This window comes from Homo sapiens, chromosome 10 (genome assembly GCF_000001405.40).
Source record: "Homo sapiens chromosome 10, GRCh38.p14 Primary Assembly".
NCBI classification, from domain to species: Eukaryota; Metazoa; Chordata; class Mammalia; order Primates; family Hominidae; genus Homo; species Homo sapiens.
In genome coordinates this window covers 9,756,393-9,777,199 of record NC_000010.11, presented here as the reverse complement: position 1 = coordinate 9,777,199, position 20,807 = coordinate 9,756,393, and the positions used below count along the sequence as shown (strand labels likewise).

At 37.6% G+C, this 20,807-nt stretch overlaps 2 long non-coding RNA genes across 6 annotated transcripts in view; both read left to right on the top strand.

Moving 5' to 3' along the window:
• LINC02663 (long intergenic non-protein coding RNA 2663) overlaps positions 1-20,807 on the top strand; it is a 434,814-nt gene that overhangs the window by 100,895 nt on the left and 313,112 nt on the right. The window lies entirely within an intron of this gene.
• Positions 17,970-18,417, top strand: LOC124902542 (uncharacterized). The gene is made up of 2 exons (XR_007062366.1): positions 17,970-18,121; positions 18,233-18,417. It is a non-coding gene; the product is annotated as an uncharacterized LOC124902542 (long non-coding RNA).

The window sequence follows — 20,807 nt, the reverse complement described above, 5'->3', positions numbered from 1 at the left end:
TTTCAAAATTCCTGTAGCTTTACAAATCTCTAGTTAGTTTCAGTCCTCAAACAGTTCATCTTTTTCAAAATTATTTTGACTCTTTGCTTTTTGAATTTCCATATAAATTTTAAGATCACTTTCTCAATTTCTACAAAGTACTCTATAGGAAGATGAATTTATGGAGAAATAACATCTTAACATTATTGAGCTATTCAGTCAATGAATGTGTTACATTTTTCATTTATTTATATATGCTATAGTTTCTCTTGGAAATATTGTCTAGTTTTCAATATAAAGGTCCTGTGCATCAGAATTATCCATAAGTATTTCATATTTTCATGCTATTGGAAATGTTATCTAAGTTTCAGATTCCAATTGTTCATTGTCACTATATAGAAATACAATTTATTCTTGTATGTTACTGTTGTTTCTATTTTGCAAACTTGTGAAACTCACTCTTTTTAGTTGTAGTAGTGTTACTGGTGAATTCTCTAGCGTTTTCTATAGAAACAATTTTGTTGTCTGTGAATAAAAATAAAATATAGTTCCTTTCTGGATATTTATTTATATTGCCTTGTTGCAGTAGCTGAAGCTTCCAGAACATTGTTTAATAGAAATGGTGAGCATGGACATCCTTACTTTATTCGTTATTTTAGGGACTTTTTAAAATTAAGTATGATGTTAGCTAAAGAGTTTTTCATTATAGTCCTGTACCAATTTAAGGAAATTCTACATGATCTTAGTTTACTAAGAGATGTTGTTTGTTTGTTTTAAATATTAGAAATAGATGTTAGATATTGTCAATTTCTTTTCTGCATATATTGATATGATCTGGCTATTTTTTCTTTTTATTCTGCTCATATGATACATTATTTATTTTCTAATGTTAAACAAACCATGAATTCCTGGGATAAACACTACTTAGATGTTTAAATCGCCTTATTCATATATTTTTTTCAATTTCCCAAAATTTTGTTAAGACGTGTGTGTGTGTGTGTGTGTGTGTGTGTGTGTGTGTTTGTGAGGGGTATTGATCTGTACTTTTTTTTTGTAATGTTCTCAATTGATTTCAATATGATAATGAAGATTTTTTTTTTTTTTTTTTTGAGACAGGGTCTCACTGTGTCCCCCAGGCTGGAGTGCAGTGGTATGATCACCGCTCATTGCAACCTCTGCCTCCTGGGTTCTGGCGATTCTCTCACCTCAGCTTCCTGAGTAGCTGGGAGTACAGCCATGCGCCACCATGCTTGGCTAATTTTTTGTATAGAGGCTGGGTTTCATCATGTTGCCAGGCTGGTCTCAAACTTCTGGCCTCAAGTAATCTGCCTGCCTCGTCCTCCCAAAGTGCTGGAATTACAGACATGATCCACTGTACCCATCTAATATGATAATTATTTAAATATTATTGAATGTGCTGAGAAATATTCCTTTGTCTTAAATGCTATGGAATAGTTTGAATATAACTGGTGTTAATCCTTCAAGGTTGGTTAAATTTACCTTGAAGATAATATTCTGGTGGTCCCAGAATATTGTTACCACCAGAAAATTATAAATTACATATTCAATTTTTCAATAGATATGAAGCTATTCAGGTTATATTTACACACACACATGAATATGTATGATCATATATGCATAGATGTATAAATACATGTATGTGTATTATATATACATATATACTTTATATATACATGCATTGGTAGTTGACATCTTTCAAGGACTTTGTTCATACCATCTAAATTGAAGAAACTTAATAGCATAAATCTGTTCAGTATATTTCTCCAGCCTTTGAAATCTGTAGGATCTATAGTAATGTCACGTTTTCACTCAGTAAATTGAAAATTGTGCCTATTCTTTTTTTTTTGATGCATTAGCATGTCTAGAGATTTTTTAGTTTCCTTAACGTATACCACTTAACCAATTTTTGTTTCATTGATTTTTCATAATTTTTGCTGTGCTCATTATTATTTCCTTTTTTCTGCTTTGTTGTTTTTAATGATTTATTTTTGTTTGTTTACTTGTTTGTTTCTTATGGGAGAAGATTAGGCTATTAATTTGAACTCTTTCTTCTTTACTGTATAGGCATTTTGTGATATAAATATTCTAAGTACTGTTCGTTGCATACAACAAGGTTTGGTATATTGTGTTTACAATTTTGTACTGATTTACGTAATTTATAATTTCCTTATTTATATCTTTTTTTTGGCTCACAGGTTATTTAGACATTTACGATTCATTTTCTGAATATTTAGGGACATTCCAGATATTTTTCTTATATAGTTCCACTGTGGTCAGAAAGTATTCTTTTATAAATTCAGTCTTTTTAAACTTTTGAGACTTGTTTTATTATTCAGAATAAGATTTGTCTAGGTAAATGTCTTGTACATACCTGAAAAGTAATCATTTCTACTGCTGCTGGGTGGGGTATTTTGTAAACATCAGTTAGGTCATAGTATGGTTCCAGTCATTTATTTTCTTATTGATTTTCTGTATACTCAATCAATTATTAAGGGGATGGTGTCAAGATATCATGTTATAATTGTGGATTTTAGTTATTTTTTCAGTTCTGTCACTGTTTGTTTCAAGTGATTTATGGCTTTTTCATTAGGTGTAGAATGATTTAGAATTATTATATCATCTTAATGAATTAATCCCTTTATCATTTTGATATGGCCCCTTTATTTCTGGCAATATTCTTTACTCTGAAATCTACTTTGTCCCATATTAATGAAGTTACTCCAGATTATTTTTTTAAATTAATGTCAACATTATAGTTCTCTTTTTAAATTCTTTTTACTTTCATTCTATTTGTGTCTTTACATTTAAGTTGGTTTTCTATAGGCAACATTTTATTGGGTCTTGCTGTTTTAGCCAATTTGACAATGACTGCCATTTAATTGAGGTATTCAGACAATTTTTGTTTAATATGATTATTGATATGGTTAGATTTGAATCTGGAATTTTGATGTTTTTTATCTATATAACCTGTTCTTGTTCAGTTTTCCCTTTTTTCTTCTATATTTTGGATTAGCTAATTTTTAAAAATGATTTTCTTAGCTTATTTGTTGGTCAGTTAGCTACAATTTTTTGTTAACTCCACACCCACACCCTACCATGGTGGCTGTAGGGCTTTAGTATACAACTTAAATTTATCACAGTTAACATTTAAGTGCTTTTACTATTTTACATATGAGAATATTACAGCAAATGTATTAAGACATCCAACTCTAATTTGCTCACCTTTGTACTACTCTTGTTAAGCATTTTATTTCTATGTGTGTTATAAATCTTGTAATACATTGTTGTTATTTTTGCCTTATACAGTCAGTTATCTATTGATTTCTAGCTTTATACCATGGGTCAGAAAATATATTTGCTGTAAATCCAAGTTTCCTATTTTTTTAAGACTTGTTTTGTAGCCTAACATGATCTATGCTGGAGAATGTTCTGTGTGTGCTTCTGAAGAATTTGTAGTCTACTGCTGTTGGATGAAATGTTCAGTCCATTTGTTCTGTAGCATTGTTCAAGTCCACTGTTTTCTTAGGATTTTCTGTCTCGATGATTTATCTATTATTGAAACTAGAATTTTAAAGTTTCCTAATGTTATTATATTGCTCTCTATTTCTCCCTTCAGATCTGTTAATATTTGCTTTACATGTTTAGGTGCTACAATATTGGCTACATATATATTTATAACTGCTATATCCTTTTGTTTGACATTTTTATCAATATATAGTAACATTTTTGCCTTTTATGACAGTTTTTGACTGATCTATTTTGTCTGATATAAGAATAGCCACTTTGGCTCTCTCTTCGTTACCATTTGCATGGAACAGTTTTTCATCCCTTTGCTTTCAGTAGATGTGTTCTTAAAATTAAAGTGAGTCTTGTAGGCAGCATATAGTTGGTTTTTAAAAATCCACTCAGCTACTCTCTATGTATTTTAATTAGGAAATTTAATTCATTAACATTTAAAGTAAATTTCATTTTGTTAATTATTTTCTGACTTTCTTGTAGTTCCTTCATTGGCTTTATTCCTCTCTTGCTGTCTTGTTTTGTGATTATGTGATTATTTTTGGAGGGATATACTTTGATTTCTCTTTCCTCATATGCTGTCTCTCTATTACAGGTTTTTTATTTGTATTAACCAGAGAGCTGACATAAAATATCATCTAGTTATAATAGTCTATTTTAAGCTGATAGCAACTTTAATCATATACAAAATCTCTACACTTTTATTTCTCCCTCTATACTTTGTTATTGTTGTTACCTTTTACATTGTGTGTCCATTTATAAACCATTTTAGTTTTTAAAATGTTTGTCTTTTAAATTTTATACTAGAATTGAAAATATTTTATGCACCATTACTACAATATTAAACTATTCTGGTTTTGAGATTGAACACTGTGTCTCACACCAGCAATCCCAGCACTTTGAGAGGCCAAGGTGGAAAGATTGCTTGAGACCAGAAGTTGGAGACCAGCTTGGGCAACATACAGAGACTCTATCCTACAAAAGTGAAAATAAAAAAATAGCCGAACATGATGATGATGTTGCAGCCTATAGTTCCAGCTACTGAGGAGGCTGAAGCAGCAGGGTTGCTTGAGCCCAGACGTTCAAGGCTGCAGTGAGCTATGGTCACATCACTACACTCTAGCCTGGGCAACAGAGTGAGACCCTGTGTCTACAAAGATAAAATAAAATAAATTAATAAACAAAGTATTCTGTATTTAGTCATATATAATACTTAGCTTTTGCCAGTGAGTTTTATCATTTCATAGGTTTTCATGTTGCTAATTAGTGTCCTTTTATTTCAAGTTGAAAAACTCCCTTTAGCTTTTCCTTTAACATAGGTCTAGTGGTGATGAACTTCTTTAATTATTGTTTGTCTGGGGAAGAGTGTTCATCCCAGTCTTTCTTGGCCTGCAGGGTTTCTTCTGAGAAATCCACTGACAGTCTTATGCAGGGCTCATGTGAGGAGTTGCTTTTATTTTTTTCCACTTTCCAACTTTCCTCTTTGTTTTTGACTTTTGACAATTTGACTATACTATGCCCCTATGCAGATATCTTTACACTTAACTATTTGGAGACATTCATGCTTCATGAAATTACATGTCAGTTGTCCTCTCTAGATTTGGGAAGTTTGGGGCTGTTATTTTTTTAAATGGGCTATCTGTTCTTTTCTCTCTCTGTTCTCCTTTTGGGAACTTTATAGTGCACATATTGGTTACCTTGATTGCATCCTATAAGACTCTTAGATTTTCTTCACCCTTTTCTTTTTCTTTTTTCTTTTTTGTTGACTGGATTATTTCTCATGATCTGCCTTCTAGTCTCTCAATTCTCTCTTCTTGATTAAATCTGCTTGTGAATCCCTCTAGTAATTTTTTATATTAGTTATGTATTCTCCAGTCCCTTTTTTTTTTTAACTGTTTTTACCTCTTTGTTGAACTTCTAATTTTGTTAATGTATTGTTTTCCTAATTTTGTTTAGCTGTATGTCTGTTAACATTTCTTGTAGTGCAGGCAGGATAATATTAAAACTTTTAGCTTACGCATGTCTGAAAACATCTTTATTTCATCCTTCTTTGAAAGATGTTCCATTTGGTGTATACTACAGTTCTAGGTTCACAATAATTTCATTTAACAACTTAAAGATTTTGCTTCACTCTCCTCTGTCATACATTGTTTCCAATGGAAAATCTTTTGCTTTAAATATACTCTTAATTTTTCTTTCATAGATGCTTTTTTTCTTCTTTATTTCCATTTTTAAGAAACTTGATTTGGAAGTGCCTTGATGTAATTTTCTTAATATTTCTTGTTTTTGGGATTTGCCAAACTTTGGATCTTTGGCTTATCAAGTAGTTTTCTATATCCCCATCTATCTTTTTGTTTTGAGATTCAAATTACATATATATTATGGTGCTTGAAATTTCTGCACAGCTCTGAGATGCTCTGTTCATTTTCTTTTATTTTTTGCTGTGTTTCATTTTAATAGTTTTTATCACTCTCACTTTAAATTCAGTATTTTTTTTCCCTGTGATGTCTAATTTGTCTTTAATCTCATCCAGTATATTTTTCATATTAGGCATTACAGTTTTCACATCTTTAGAAACTTTATTTTTTTATATCCCAATCTTTTCTCTAACATCTTTAACATAGAAATACATTTATAACAATCCTTTAACAATACTTTATTTCAGTGTTAAATTTTGATTTATTGATTTTTATCGTCATTATAATTGTATTTTTGCTTGCCTGAACATTTTGAATTTGATGACAGATAAAGACTTTTCTTATTGAGTATTGGATATTTTTGTATTTCTGTAAATATTCTTAAGATTTGTCCTGAACTGTGGTTATCTGGAAAATTTTCCTGACTTGCTGAGTACTCCACCTATGCCCCATTAATTATGAGGCTTTCTATCTCAGCTGGTGGGAACAGAAACTAGTTCTGGCCCTCTATGAGCACTGTGATTATTCCTTAAATCATTTCAATTGCATCTTTTCCTGAACTCAAGGTTTCAGTACACAGCTGAAGACGTGAGGTTTACCTCTGTGACTATCCAGAATTCTCTCCACAGAATCCTGCCCTTCAATCTTGTGCTACCCTGAAATCCCTGGACTCCCATCTTTGTCTGCTCCACTCTGAGAGGGCGTCATATCTGACTGGGTTTCCTCTTCCAGAGCTGAGGCCAAGAACCTGTCTCTATGTGTAAATAAGGGGAAGCGTAGGGCTTAAATCACTCATTTCCATTATCTCAGGAATTACTATCTTCATTGCCTGATGGCCAAAGTATTAAAAAGTGTCTGAGTTTTTTCTTTTTTTTGGGACAGAGTCTCACTCTGTTGCCAGGCTGGAGTGCAGTGGTGTGATCTCGGCTCACTGCAGCCTCCGCCTCCCGGATTCAAGGGATTCTTCTGCCTCAGCCTCCTGGGTAGCTAGGACTACAGGTGTGCACCACCACGTCCAGCTAATTTTTGTATTTTTAGTAGAGATGGGGTTTCACCGTGTAGGCCAGGATGGTATTGATCTCTTGACCTCGTGATCCACCCGTCTCAGCCTCCAAAAGTGCTGGGATTACAGTCGTGAGCCACCGCACCCGGCCATGTCTGAGTTTTTAATTGTTTCAGGTGAAGATGTAAATTCAATTCCTTTTACTCCACCTTGGTGAGAAAATGAAGTTGTTATTATGTTTTTGAGAGAGTTGTACTGTTATATTTACATGTGTATATATATATATATATATATCTCAGATATTATCATGTATATATCATTTATTAGTTTATATAGTATATTTATATATGTGTGTGTGTGTGTGTGTGTGTGTGTATTTGAGGATCTATACACATAGAACAAATAGAACAAAGTATACACCAAAATGCAATACTCAAGTTTAAAAGTATATTTGGGCTGCCAGTCTTTCTCATATTGTAATTAGGCACAGTCCAGAGGGAAGGAAATCCCCCGTGAATATCTCAATTGTTATCAAGGAGACAGAGGCCAAAAAATACTCACCCTATGAATGCTGCAAGAGCCATGAAGAATAATGGAAAATGAAAGTCCCTTCAGAAACCAGAATTGGAGCCTAATCAAGGAACATGCCCCATTTCCTTTAAGATAGCTTCAAAATATCTACCCGGCATTCTTTCAGAATTTGCTACAATTCAGTGACTTCTGTGCATCTCTTCTTTTTACACTGGAGTATTACCCCTGTTCCACCATTATCTGTATATGGTGGAGAGTGCAGATATTCCTTTTATTTTTCTTTTGTTTAAAAATTTAGTGATCCTCAGCAAAATAAGTGAAACTTAGACTTTAGATTTTACCCCAGAGATCCCAAACTTTCCTTTCAGCATGTACATATGACTTTGGCTTGTCATCCCTGGGAGAAGTTGAGGATCTCCAATGTGTTTTACTTAAAAGGGAGAGGAGCCAAAATTGATGATCACAAGGGGACCCTGAGGCAAAAACAGTGCTGTTCACCAAATATTCTACCTGCTTCATAGAATTTCTTAGCCTCCTAACAATTAAGTGGGACAGTGTGACTGAATACTACTGCTGCACATTCAGAAGTAATATGTGTCACTTTAGGGCTGAAGTAGTTAACAGACCATTTGCTATTCTACCCTGTCTTTCCTTGCTCCTGCCTTTGAGAAAGCCAAGTGTCCCAAGGGGTATAGCCACAAGATGGAAGGACAACGTCACCATGGGTTTTGAATGACCATGCAGAGCAAAGTTCCTCATCTGATGGGCATTAGACAAGTAGCACAGATAGAAAATTAACGTGGTTGTGTAGAGCCATTGAGATTTAGGAATCTTACTAATTATAGCGAAGTATAACCTACTTTATATGTATGTGTGTGTGATGATGATATGTGTGTGTTTTCTTATTTAACCTTTATGATACCCCATATAAAATTGGTTTTATCAAATAAATTTATCAATGGAGTCCTAAAGTTCATGCTATGTGCTCAATATTACATTGTGAAGAAGTGAGCCGAGCTTTCAACCCAGGCCTGGCTGACTTCAAATCCTGTCATCCAAATAATGACACTGCTGTGATTGTCATGTACCCCATCCATGAGAAGTCAAAGGGAGAGATGGTCAACATAGGAGCCTCAACCAAAATAAAGATTGAGAAGAGACCAGTTATTGTGGTTATCAAAGGTTGTGGTTGATCTTAGCAAGGGTAATTTAAGACAAAAATTAAAAGTTTGGGCCGGGCGTGGTGGCTCAAGCCTGTAATCCCAGCACTTTGGGAAGCCGAGGTGGGTGGATCACGAAGTCAGGAGATCGAGACCATCCTGGCTAATATGGTGAAACCCCGTCTCTACTAAAAATACAAAAAAATTAGCCGGGCATGGTGGCGGGCGCCTGTAGTTCCAGCTACTTGGGAGGCTGAGGCAGGAGAATGGTGTGAACCCAGGAGGCAGAGCTTGCAGTGAGCCTAGATGGCGCCACTGCACTCCATCCAGCCTGGGCGACGGAGCGAGACTCCGTCTCAAAAAAAAAAAAAAGATTTGACTGTGATGGGCTGGAGAATAAATGGATTTGAAGTGCTGGTAGAAATGACTGATCTTTTCAACCTGGATCAAATCCCTGACCTGATACAATTTACTTGAATGCACACCTATATGTGCAAAGACACCTACATTTGCACACACACACACACACACACACACTCTATCTTTTATGGCCCCTCAATATGGGGGTATATTTGAAAAGAAAAAAAATACCTGCTCAGTTGATTGTGATTCTCCCCATTCTTTCCCTTTCTTTTTGGAGACTGACTGGTACAGGCAATTCTTATAGAAATTGTGAGAGCAGAAAAGAAACTACAGCTCCTTTTTAAAACTTATTGTTTTTTAATAATTTTTAATTGAATAGAAGTGCAATTGTTCACATGTAAAATAAAAAGAAATGAAAGGAAAATATATGTTTTTTTTTTGTTGTTGTTGTTGTTTGTTTTTTGTTTTTTTTTTTGACACAGTCTTGCTCTGTTGCCCAGGCTGGAGTGCAGTGGCGCAATCTCGGCTCACTGCAACCTCTGCCTCCTGGGTCAAGCGATTCTCCTACCTCAGCCTCCCAGGTAGCTGGGATTACAGGCCCCTGCCACCACGTGGGCCTGGCCAATTTTTGTATTTTTAGTAGAGACAGGGTTTTGTCATGTTCGCCAGGCTGGTCTCGAACTCCTGACCTCGTGATCCACTGCCTTGGCCGCTCAATATATGGTGGTTTTTATGAAGTAATAAAGTACAATGAGGACACTGGCAAGAGGTGACGTGGCCTGGACTGTGGGGAAACGTGTCCCTTATGTGAGGAATAAAAGCTTGAGTGCAGACATAGAGTCCCACTCCATGCCCCTGGCTTACCTTCTGCTAGGGAATAGTAAACATTTGGAACTTATTATTTCTTCTAAACTTTCACTACTGTAGCCCCTTCCATCTCCCCCCAAGTATTCCCACCTCCATCAGGTCACATTGCTCACCTTACTGCTGTTCGTGGCCTGAAATTCCCAACTTGATAGGATGGAGCCCCTGCCAAGAAGCGAACCAAGAGGCAAATGTGAGACAAGCAGCCTTTGCACTGATTCTTCACATCTGCACCACAAAAGGCTGTATGAAAATACAACATTTGTTGGATAAATTACAGTATGGGAAAAGGAAAACAGATTCTTAAAACTATCATTAGCATGACTTTTCCTGTCTTCAGAAGCCATGCATTGGAAATTCAGTGTCTTTACAGAGAGCCCTCTGGTGGGCATACCCTAGTCCCTAACACATCCTCCATCTGCATCTCTCCTCTCAGAAATACTTGTTCACTCATCATTACCAGGTGGGACACCATCCATAGAGTCACCTTTTAACAAACTTCTCCCCATCATCATAGGGATTAATATCATCCTCAAGAAAGACCCTTCTCTGTGTCTCTGGTATTCAAGCTAAGTGACCTTACATGTGCGTCATTCATGCGGTGAGTATAGGAGTTGTTACTTTTGACACTCCAAATCTGGAAGAACCATTTATGGAAAAACAGATGTGAAGGGAAGGTGGTATGTGGATACTGTGCATCTCAATATCAATTGTGTGTGGGTGTGAGCTTGATATGGTCCCTTCTCATGGCGTATGTTATAGAAATTTCTCTCTTCCTTTCTGATTGTTGGGACCTGTGAATCACACACACACACAAACACACACACACGCACACACACATGCCACAGAGTTTTCTTCATTGTGGATAAAGTTTCTCAGTGATAATAATGCCCAAACTCATTAGAAGAGACAGCTTTTTCTAACTCCTCAATGTTTTAATATTTTACAAGGCAACTGCTTTCCAATGGAGTACAGTATTTTGCATCAAAGTGTTTGTTCTTTTCTCATTTCCTCTCTGCCCCTGCAGCTTTTATAATTGGGCCACTTGGGTGCCCAGCAGAAGAATGACTCCCTGTACTGAGCCATATTTCTCTTAATAAAAAGTTTTGCCTGTACATTTTGGACCACATGAAAGAACTTTACTCAAATCCTTAGCCAAAGGCTAGTCCTATTCGAAATATTTGCTTGGAAGGAGGAAAGAGAATTGTTTTATTTTTTAGTTACAAGAAGAAAGAGACCACTGTGGTAAGAATTCATTTGTAGTCAGGATACAAAAATGAATGAAGCTTTGACAGATGGTAGCTACTTCCTCTATTAAGTAAATCTAGGGTCATTGGCTAATGGTAATGTGGGAGATAATGGAAAAATGGTATAGGAGAGAATGGTTGCAGAAGAAACCGTCAGTGTGGAGTTTGAGAAAGGGAGCTCATAACACTGAACATAAGTTCTCTATAAGTGGGTCCAGTTGAAGGTAAAGAGTGTACATTTGTCATGATAGTGATCTACATGTCTATAGCTTGGTACAGAAATGAAAAACACAAATGGTCATACCAAGCTAATGTTAAGAGTTTGCAGGGGAGTGAGTTGCAGACCAAAAATAGTAGGTGGATAGATTTGCTGCTCAGGGAGTAAGTGAAATACTGGGCATAGCCTGGGGAGGTCTTACTCCATAAAAGGGGAAGGGAAAGGAAAGGGAAAGCTAGGTGCGTAGCATCATGTGCTTCTTCCTGCCCCACTGTGACTAGCCTAAATCCTGTTGGCAGTCTTTCCCAGGGGTATTCATACTGCTGTGCAACCCACCACCTCCTGATCCTCTGTGTTACAAGGATAATTAAACTGTGGTGCCAGGTTAATCTTCCTATTGCAACGTTTTAATTAGGAATTCCCCTGGCTCAAAAACTTTTCATGTCTTCCCATTGCCTTTCCCATGTTCTCCATTTCTCTTACTTGCAACTTACAACTCTCACATGGACTGCATTTCTCAATAGAGTATTCCATCTTGAAATATGATCAGCTCTGTTAAATATGGCACTTCAGGTAAGGTAGGGTAGTCGATTCTAAGTCTTCAGGGAAATTAATCCAATTAACGTTAACCCCACACTTCTGATCTATGGGAAGAGAGGAACAGTGAGAGACTGATTCATTTCCTACTGACCAAAGGAGACGTGTACCTAGAGCACAATAAAAAGTCAGAGCCCTGACCCTAAACTGGGGCTTTGTGATTGCTGTAAATCTATCACACTATGATGAAAATCTGAGATGTAACCTAATTCTTTAGCCCCTTCCCTACACATGCTCAGATGGGAAAACAAGGGGTACGTGAAGCTAGCTGTGATCCAAAAACTTGTTAAAAGTGTTTTAGATGTTAGATCACACCCATCCTGGAGAGAAAGCATATGTTCTCTATATTTTTCTCCAGCGTTGGAAATGTTGCCTTGGGGGTTGTTGTCATTTCTGTCTTTTCTACATACATAATAAATTGGAATTCTTTTCTTTGTTAAGATTTTTAATAAGCAGCAGTGTTAAAGAGCACTTATTTAGATGAAACATGCTAGAGGGCAAAGGGGAATTGAAATATCCTATAAATTATTGAAATTAGCCAATGGGAAACATAATTAATTGATTTCCCTTACTTTCTGGAAAGTCTGTATATGCTCTGTATCCATGCCTTTTGAAATTTTATCTACTCAAAACCCACCTCCAAGGTTACTTCACGCATAATTTTCCCCAATCATATATGTTCCCTTCCTTCTTTCAACTCAGGTGACACATTGTGTTTTGTAAAGCTAATATGTTTTATGTTATAAAATAATTATTTTCTACATATCTTATCTCTACAATTGCAAAATTATTAAGAAGCTTATAGTGACAGTCATAAATATTCATATAAAATGAATACTATTATTTTATTTTGAATAAAGTTTTATATGCCTTTTCTATTTTAATCCTTGCTGTAACCCTCTGTGCAGACATTATTTTGAAGACTATTATTGTCCTCCAATTTATCTTGAAGCTTTAGAGTAAAACAGTCTTGGGCTGTATTCCTGGATTTGAAATATATTGGATTTGTGTCTCTAGGCAAGTTATTTAATTTATCTGAGCTTAATTTTCTTCATTTTTAGAGGTAGCATGGTATTTATATCTTATATAACTTACATACATTCATATATTTACATAATTTATCATTGCTGTAAGAAATGAATGTTTGCTTATATATAACATATAAAATGCCTACACGTGAGGCATTCATATAATTACTATTTGGAATATTTTTCACTATGCATATTCCATATGTATTGGAAGCCCACTAATGTTCAAAGCAGTTTGAAAGTTGCAACTTTCAAGTACTTGCACTTGACTATTAGCGGTTAGGGAATAAACCAAAATAAAGAATGGAATCCTGAAGTTATACCTTTCTCTTTGTGGGGAAGAGCAAATCCCACAGGCTTAGACATCATCAAACACATAACACAGGAAATCAAACAGATTAATGAGTGCATATGCATATGATAAACCCAAATATTATATTAATAGGCACAAATGTTATGAATCATGAAAAAAATCATAAAATAAATTATCAATAAAAATATACATTTAATAAGTTCACTAGCATAACAAGTTGCTACTATTAGGCAAGTGTAAAGACCATGCAGACATAGTGATCTTTCCAGATTCTTCTGAGCTCCAAATAGAATGAGAAAAACTTGCAGATGTCACACAAACAATACTGGCTGGTAAGGCGTAGTCTGTCTCTCACTGTGCACATTTTAACCTCTTGAATCATGTCTGTTGCAAGAAAAACAGTATGTCAAGGTAGAGGGTCCGGAGATTCTAGTTATATACCATGAGTATGACTGATGAGAAATGCTTTCGCATTGTTTGAATATCAGAGTCATTTAAACTATTTTACAGGAAGAAAAAAATGTAGTTTAACTTAGAGTGATGAAAACATCTGCTACTGGCAGTTCGACAGAGAGTGGTGAGTAAGAGAGATTTCACAGAAGTTGGCTTATTTTGGAAAGCAGCAGGCCACAGCTGATATTGATTGAGATGGACATCCTTATCAATATGACCTATATAATGTCTTGAGATAAAAATATTCTATTTGATGGCTTGGCATTCTTCTGGCCCGAAAAGACTGTAGTAACTTTAGAAAGAAGGGCAAAAGCTGATGTCATCATGATAATGAAATTATTGCAAAATGGGGCAATCTATGGGGAATTAAGAAATGCCATAACATATTTTGAGGTCGGCAGAGACAATGACACATAGTTAGGAACATTTAGTCATGCGGTTAAGCAAAATGATGTATTTGCCCAAAAATGCCCTCATATTTATGAAGGCTTGGAATGGAAGCAATAGGAGTGGATTAAAAATAAAGAACAGGAGTTTTGACCCAGATATAATTGGACCCCTGGGTCTTTCACTTTCCTGCGGTATCACATTGGGAACAAGAGCAGGGAAAGACATTACTTATACTTCCAGTTTCTCTTTTATACAATAGGTGCCAGATTAATTATCTCATGGTATTGTTGAGAAAGAGATGCCATGTGTGGCCAACACAGTTCCTGCTACACAGTAGGCATACAGTCAATGGCAGGTCTCTGTTCATAATTTTATCATGGTTTTGGTTGAAAAATTCATTGTGAGTTTAACTTCTGGCTTTCAGTGCTAAATAAATAGTGCCTCAGTGATACCACGAGAATCAAGGTCAGAAGGAATTATTTTCTAGGGTACTGGATAATAATCTTCATTTGGAATAAAGAGAGATGTGTTTCTCCACTAACTTGTTTTTATACACTTACTTAATGATTTGAAACCACTTTTAAACGAGCTAAGTATCCTTCTCTGTCCCCTTAGAAAACAGAATCAATCCAAGCACTCACTTGTACAGCAGTTAGATGATATGGTTTTATTATCAGAATTTAGGGGTAGCTTGAAGAGATCACTGGCACTTCTATATAATTACTGTTAGAAATAATTATTTAAAAAGAAGTATTCCAAGGTCAAAATAATTTTTTGGTGAGTGTCCTTCATCGTAGAGTTAACTCCACAGAACGAATCAATCCATTCAATTACCTGGGCGTTCTTTTTATGACCTGTTTATTTTAAAGGATTAAACCTGGACAGTGCATTATGGGAAGTTACATGTTCTCTAGGCACTTCATTCGAGTACGAATTTAGTAGCACTTGAACACAGTTAAAGTTAAAATCATTGCAATCTTGCCCCAAGGGGAGAAAACATGGAGGCCTCAGTTGCCCGTTGGTCAGTTTGTTGGTGTGAACTTTGCATTCCTTTCTGAACGAGTTTTGGTTCTGCTTGCCCAAACTAATTCAACAACTCCTCCAAGGTTGGAGGAGTATCTCAGGCATGTTTTTGACCTTTACTTTGCTGTTGGTAAAGTCAGGCATATATTCTGTTAATTGACAGCGTGGACTACTGTACTTCAGCTGTAATGAAAACTACAAGAGGAGAATCACTTGAACTCAGGAGGCAGAAGTTGCAGTGAGCAGAGATTGTGCTACCGCACTCCAGCCTGGGCGGCAGAGCGAGACTCCTTCTCAAAAAAAAAAAAAAAAAAAAAAAACCAAAAAAACAAAACAACACAAAACAAACAAACAAAAAAACACAAAAAGCTGCACAGTATTTCTCAATAATGTTCATGGAAGACAATTTGTAGGATAATCCATTTCTTTAGATACTTTAAGTCCTAACATTTGGTGAAATCATACTATAAAAACTATGCTACCTGTATGCTACTACTTAACAGAAGTGTGACTTCCTGGTATCTGGCAAGTGTAACTTGTCACTCCATAGCCAGCTCTTTTGAAAATATGGTTATAGCACATGTTGTTCATTTTGGATAATATCTCATCCCTCAGTTTTAGGAATAGATTAATTCCTTTGAACCACTAACATTTATTTTTTGTTGGCCAAACTAATTATTTATAAATGATATTTTCTTCTTTTTATCAAATATTCAAGTCTCAAAGCAATGTTTTTGATCCACAGGATTTTATGACATATATTTGCCTACTAATCTTATGTTCAGTTTCATCTTATGATGCTCACCCCAATTTCCCTTTGTTCCAATTTGTTTAAATCTTTGCTTTTTTAAATTTCTTGTATCATGAATCATCTGTAAGCGATATCATGGTAGCCGTGAAAATGCATGGTTCTAATCTCTTTCAAGAGACCGAGCTGGGGTGCCCACGTCACTGACAGACCTAGAGATCCACCACCATTTAGAAAAACATGTTTTCCCTGTGTAGGCTTCTCAGGGATGAGGGCTAATCGTGGTGTATGTCCTGGTGCTGGCCCATTTCTACGGGATACAGGATGCCTTAAGAGAGCATCCTTTGGCTTGGGGATCCCTAATCACCCTGACCCCAACTTGTCTCGAGCTCTGCTGCAGTGTGAGGCTCTTCCTGCTCAGTCTTCCACAGCATTACATGCTGGAGGACCTTCCTGCTGACTCAGGCCCTGTCCCCTTTGCCTTCAAGTGAGTTTCTCCCATTAAATCCTCTGTACATCTAATGGTTTGGATGTGTTTCCTCTCCAGACCTCATGTTGAAATGTGATCCCCAGTATTGGAGATGGGGCCTAGTGGAAAGTGTTTGGCTTATGGGGGTGGATTTTTCATAAATGGCTTGGTGCCCTCCTCGTGGTAACGAGTGAGTTGTTGCTGTGAGTTCATGCAAGATATGATTGTTTAAAAGAGTGTGGCATCCCTCTGCCCCTTGCTCCCACTATACCTATGTGAAATGCTGGGTCCCCCTTCATCTTACATCATGATTTGAAGTTTGCTGAGGCCCTCATCAGAAGCTAAGCAGATGCTGATGCCTTGATTGTACAGCTTGCAGAACCGTAGTCCCAATAAACCTCTTTTCTTTATAAATTACCCAACCTCAGGTATTCTTTTATAACAGTGAAAATGTACTAATATTGGACAAATGTACTATAACAGATGTTCTTCTTGGTGTATACTTCTTGAAGGACGTGAATTAACAGAGGTGATCTAAAGAATAGTCTAAACAAGGCAGACATTGAGATGGTCCTTGGGAATTTGTTCACTTGCTGCTAAGGTATCAAGGATAACATCATTTTAAATATTCTAATTGCCACAGATAGTTTCTTAAATAAGATGGGAGTGTGGTTGCTAAAGATTTCATGGCCAAATGCAGTGGCTCAAGCCAGTAATCCCAGCACTTTGGGAGGCTGAGGAGGGCAGATCACAAGGTCAGGAGTTCGAGATCAGCCTGGCCAATATAGTGAAACTTCGTCTACCGAAAATAAAAAACTTAGCCGGGCGTGGTGGTGTGTGCCTGTAATCCCAGCCAGTGCGGAGACTGAGGCAGGATAATTGCTTGAACCTGGGAGGCAGAGGTTGCAGTGGGCCGAGATCGTGCCACTGCACTCCAGCCTGGACGACAGAGCAAGACTCCATCTCAAAAAAAAGAAAAAAAAAGATTTCATGAAGAGTAACCTGAGAAAACAGGGAAGTGCCCTTGTAGGTGAAATGACTCAGGCTGAATGATGCAGGCACTTGAAAGGTATGGGGGAAAGTCATGTTCATAAGAAGAGCAAAACTGTGAGTTTACACCCAAATAATATTGGCCCTGCAGAGGAATAAAGAGAAACTGAAAAGCTTTTACCAAATGGAGGCTAATGTGAAAGTCAAATGGGCTTGTTAAGTTTAGAATGAGGCCCATAGGTCCTTATGTGGAAGCAGACAGGGTATTAAAGAGGAGGAGCAGTAGCCCTCCTGAGTCATTAGGTAAGGCAGATCTGTTATGCTAAAGTCAGGCACTGACTCGAAAAATATGAAGCCCCGAAAATGAAACAGGCCCATCTAAATGGATGTTCCTGGGGATTTTGATTCTGCAGATGTGGCCCACGTCTTCTTAATAGGAGCTAGCACTTCAACCTGTGGATTGATAAAGCAAATGTCTTCCTCAGAAGGCCATTGGCCCTCCCTAGACCTGTTATAGACTGAATTGTTTCTCCCTAGAATTCAGTGTTGAAGCCCTACCCCCCAGTGTGACTGTAATAGGAGATAGGATGGGGTCATAATGGGGGGGTCCCTAATCCAACAGGACTAGTGGCCTTGTGAGAAGAGAGAGCAACACCAGCAATGCACATGCAAAGAGGAAAGGCCCTGCAAGGATGCTAAGAACGAGGACGGCCATCCGCCCACCAAGGAGAGAAGTATCAGGAGGAACAAACCGGCCAACACCTTGATCTTGGACTTCCAGCCTCCAGAACTGTGAGAAAATGATTTTTTTTTTTTTTTTTTTTTTGGTAAGCCACCCAATCTTCAGTATTTTGTTATGGCAGCCCTAGTGCTAATACAATCCACCACTGTTCTGGCTTCCAGGTCCGCAGCTTGGGCTACCTTCCAGCATAAAGTCACTAAAGATGTGCCGGGCATGATGAAGGAAGAAAGCGACTACATGCTGAAGGAGATGGTGCGGGGACTCGCTAGTACCTATTGGCAGGACCTGGGGAACTTTGGTGGGTGCTTGATAATGGGGACTGGAATAAAAACTGGCTAAGCAAAAATTTATGGACTTGGATTCACTTTCTCAGAACACAGTTTAATACCTTGGCAAGGATTGCAGCATATGGGGCAAACTCCCTGCAGGGTGACCCTTAGAAACCTGGAGAAAATGTAAAAGCCCTTTCTTGAGGAATTGTCATTTCCTAAATTGTCATGAAGAAAGGTAGAGAAAGGTAGAAAGAGGATGAGGAAAGTGGGTACTCTGGAATGGACACATTAGGTGAGGACAGAAGATCTGCCAGAGGTTAAGTATTATGACACGCTATTCACTAAAACCATTAGACACACCATTCACCAGCTGGTGAAAAAGGCTACCAGAATCACTAAAATTTCAGTGGCTGTTCTATGCAGGCCAGGGCTGAAGGTAGCAGAGGCCGTCACAGGCTGGACTCACTGACAGCCATAGGCAAGTTCTCTCCTCTACACATCCACTGGGCTCACAATCCCATTTATCGGCCATTTCCCCATTGGCCAAGTGGATAACAAGGACTAATACACTAGACAGTTGGAGTAACCCCCACATTGGGTCCTACCCTAGTAGGGAGGGCCATGTCAAACCTCTGGGACTGACCCTCCTTCCTAGTCCAAGGTAGTAAGTCGTTAATAATATTGCATCCCAGGAGCATGACTATTATTACCACCATTAAAGATCTAAATGGGCCAGGCGTGGTGGCTCACATCTGTAATCCCAGCAGTTTGAGAGGCTGAGGCAGGTGGATCGCTTGATCCCAGGAGTTTGAGACCACCCTGGGCAACATGGCAAAACCCTGTTTCTACTAAAAATACAAAAAATAAGCTGGGTGTGGTGGCGTGTATCTGTAATCTCAGCTACCTCAAGGGGCTGAAGCACGAGAATCACTTGAACCCGGGAGGTGGAGGTTGCAGTAAGCCAAAATTGTACCACTGTGCTCCAATCTGGGCGACAGAGCAAGATTTGGTCAAAACAAAACAAAACAAAACAAAAAAACAAAACCAAACCAAAAAAACCAAAAAAAACCTAAATGACACAGTGCTGACGGTTCTTAACTTTTCTCCATTTAAATACTCTGGTACGGCTCCTGAAGAAACCGGATGGATCTTAGGGAATGCCAGTAGACTACTGCAACCTGAATTGAGCAGTAGCTTTCGTTACAGTTTCTGTGTGTGTCTAGAGCAAATTAATAAGACCTTCAATAACATGGCATGAGGGCATTGATTTGGTAAATATATTCTTCTCTCTTCTATTTAAAAAGGGGAGAAGAAACTATTTTCATTCATGTGGAATTGTCAACAATGTTTATTTACAGTTTTCCATAGGGCTAAGTTAGCTCTCCTTTTCCTTGTCATAATATTGCACAAAGAAATCTTGACCAGCTGGCCATTCCACAAAACATATTAACTCATTACATCTATGACGTCATGCTGATCATGTTACTGACAAAGCTGGTCCCCCAAAAGATGGGGCCTTTCCCCGTTTGGTGTCATGAAGCCAATACATTAAACCAAAAGCGAGTGTCAAGCAGTGCAGGTTTTATTTGATGGCAATGGAATTGAGAAGCAAGAGCATGACTCACAAATCAGCTTTTCGATGGGTGCGGGGAGATAGGGTTTCTCTAACGAAGGGTTTGGACATTAAAAGTGAGGGGAGGAATATTCATATTTTCTCCAGAAATGTGTGGTGAACTTCCAAGAGCCAGAGTGCTGCCTTCCTTTTTGCCTTTTAATGGCTTTTTCTGGCAATTGTCAACTGTCATGGCACTGGTGGGAGTGTCATTTAGCATAGAAATGAGATGATAATGAAGCCTGAGGTCTTTTTGTAGTCCTTTGGTTGGCTGTCTTCATTCAAACAGGACCTAGCTTGTCTGGTTATAAAGGGGAATTTTTATTGCAAGCACCCTGCTCCTTAAAGATCAGCAGAGTTAGGACAGGGCGGAAATTCAGCTATGTCAAGTAGGCATTACACCAGGTAACAATCAGGCAGAATAAGAAAGAGATGGCTACTACCTTTGAGGCCTTGATAAGATACATGTCTATAGCAGGTGGAAAATAGATGTTGTAAAGATTCAGGGACCTGCCACTTCAGTAAAGTTTTTAGCAGTCCAGTGATCAGGGGCTTGTCAGAATATATATACCCTCCAAAGTAAGAGAGAAGCTGTAGCATTTTGTGTTTTCTATCATTAAAAACAAGTACAAAGCTTACCTAAGAGGTAGTCCTCTTTAGCTTCTGAAGGCATCTTATTCTGTACTTAGGAGTATGGCTCTCATCCATACGTTCAGTAACCTGAAAGACAGCCAGCTTTATAGAGCTGGGAGCAGGGAATGGCTCTGCAGCAGACCCAGGTGGTAGTGGAACCAGACCTACCCTTTGGACCATATAATCTTGCAGACACTGTGTATTGGAGATGCCAGTAGT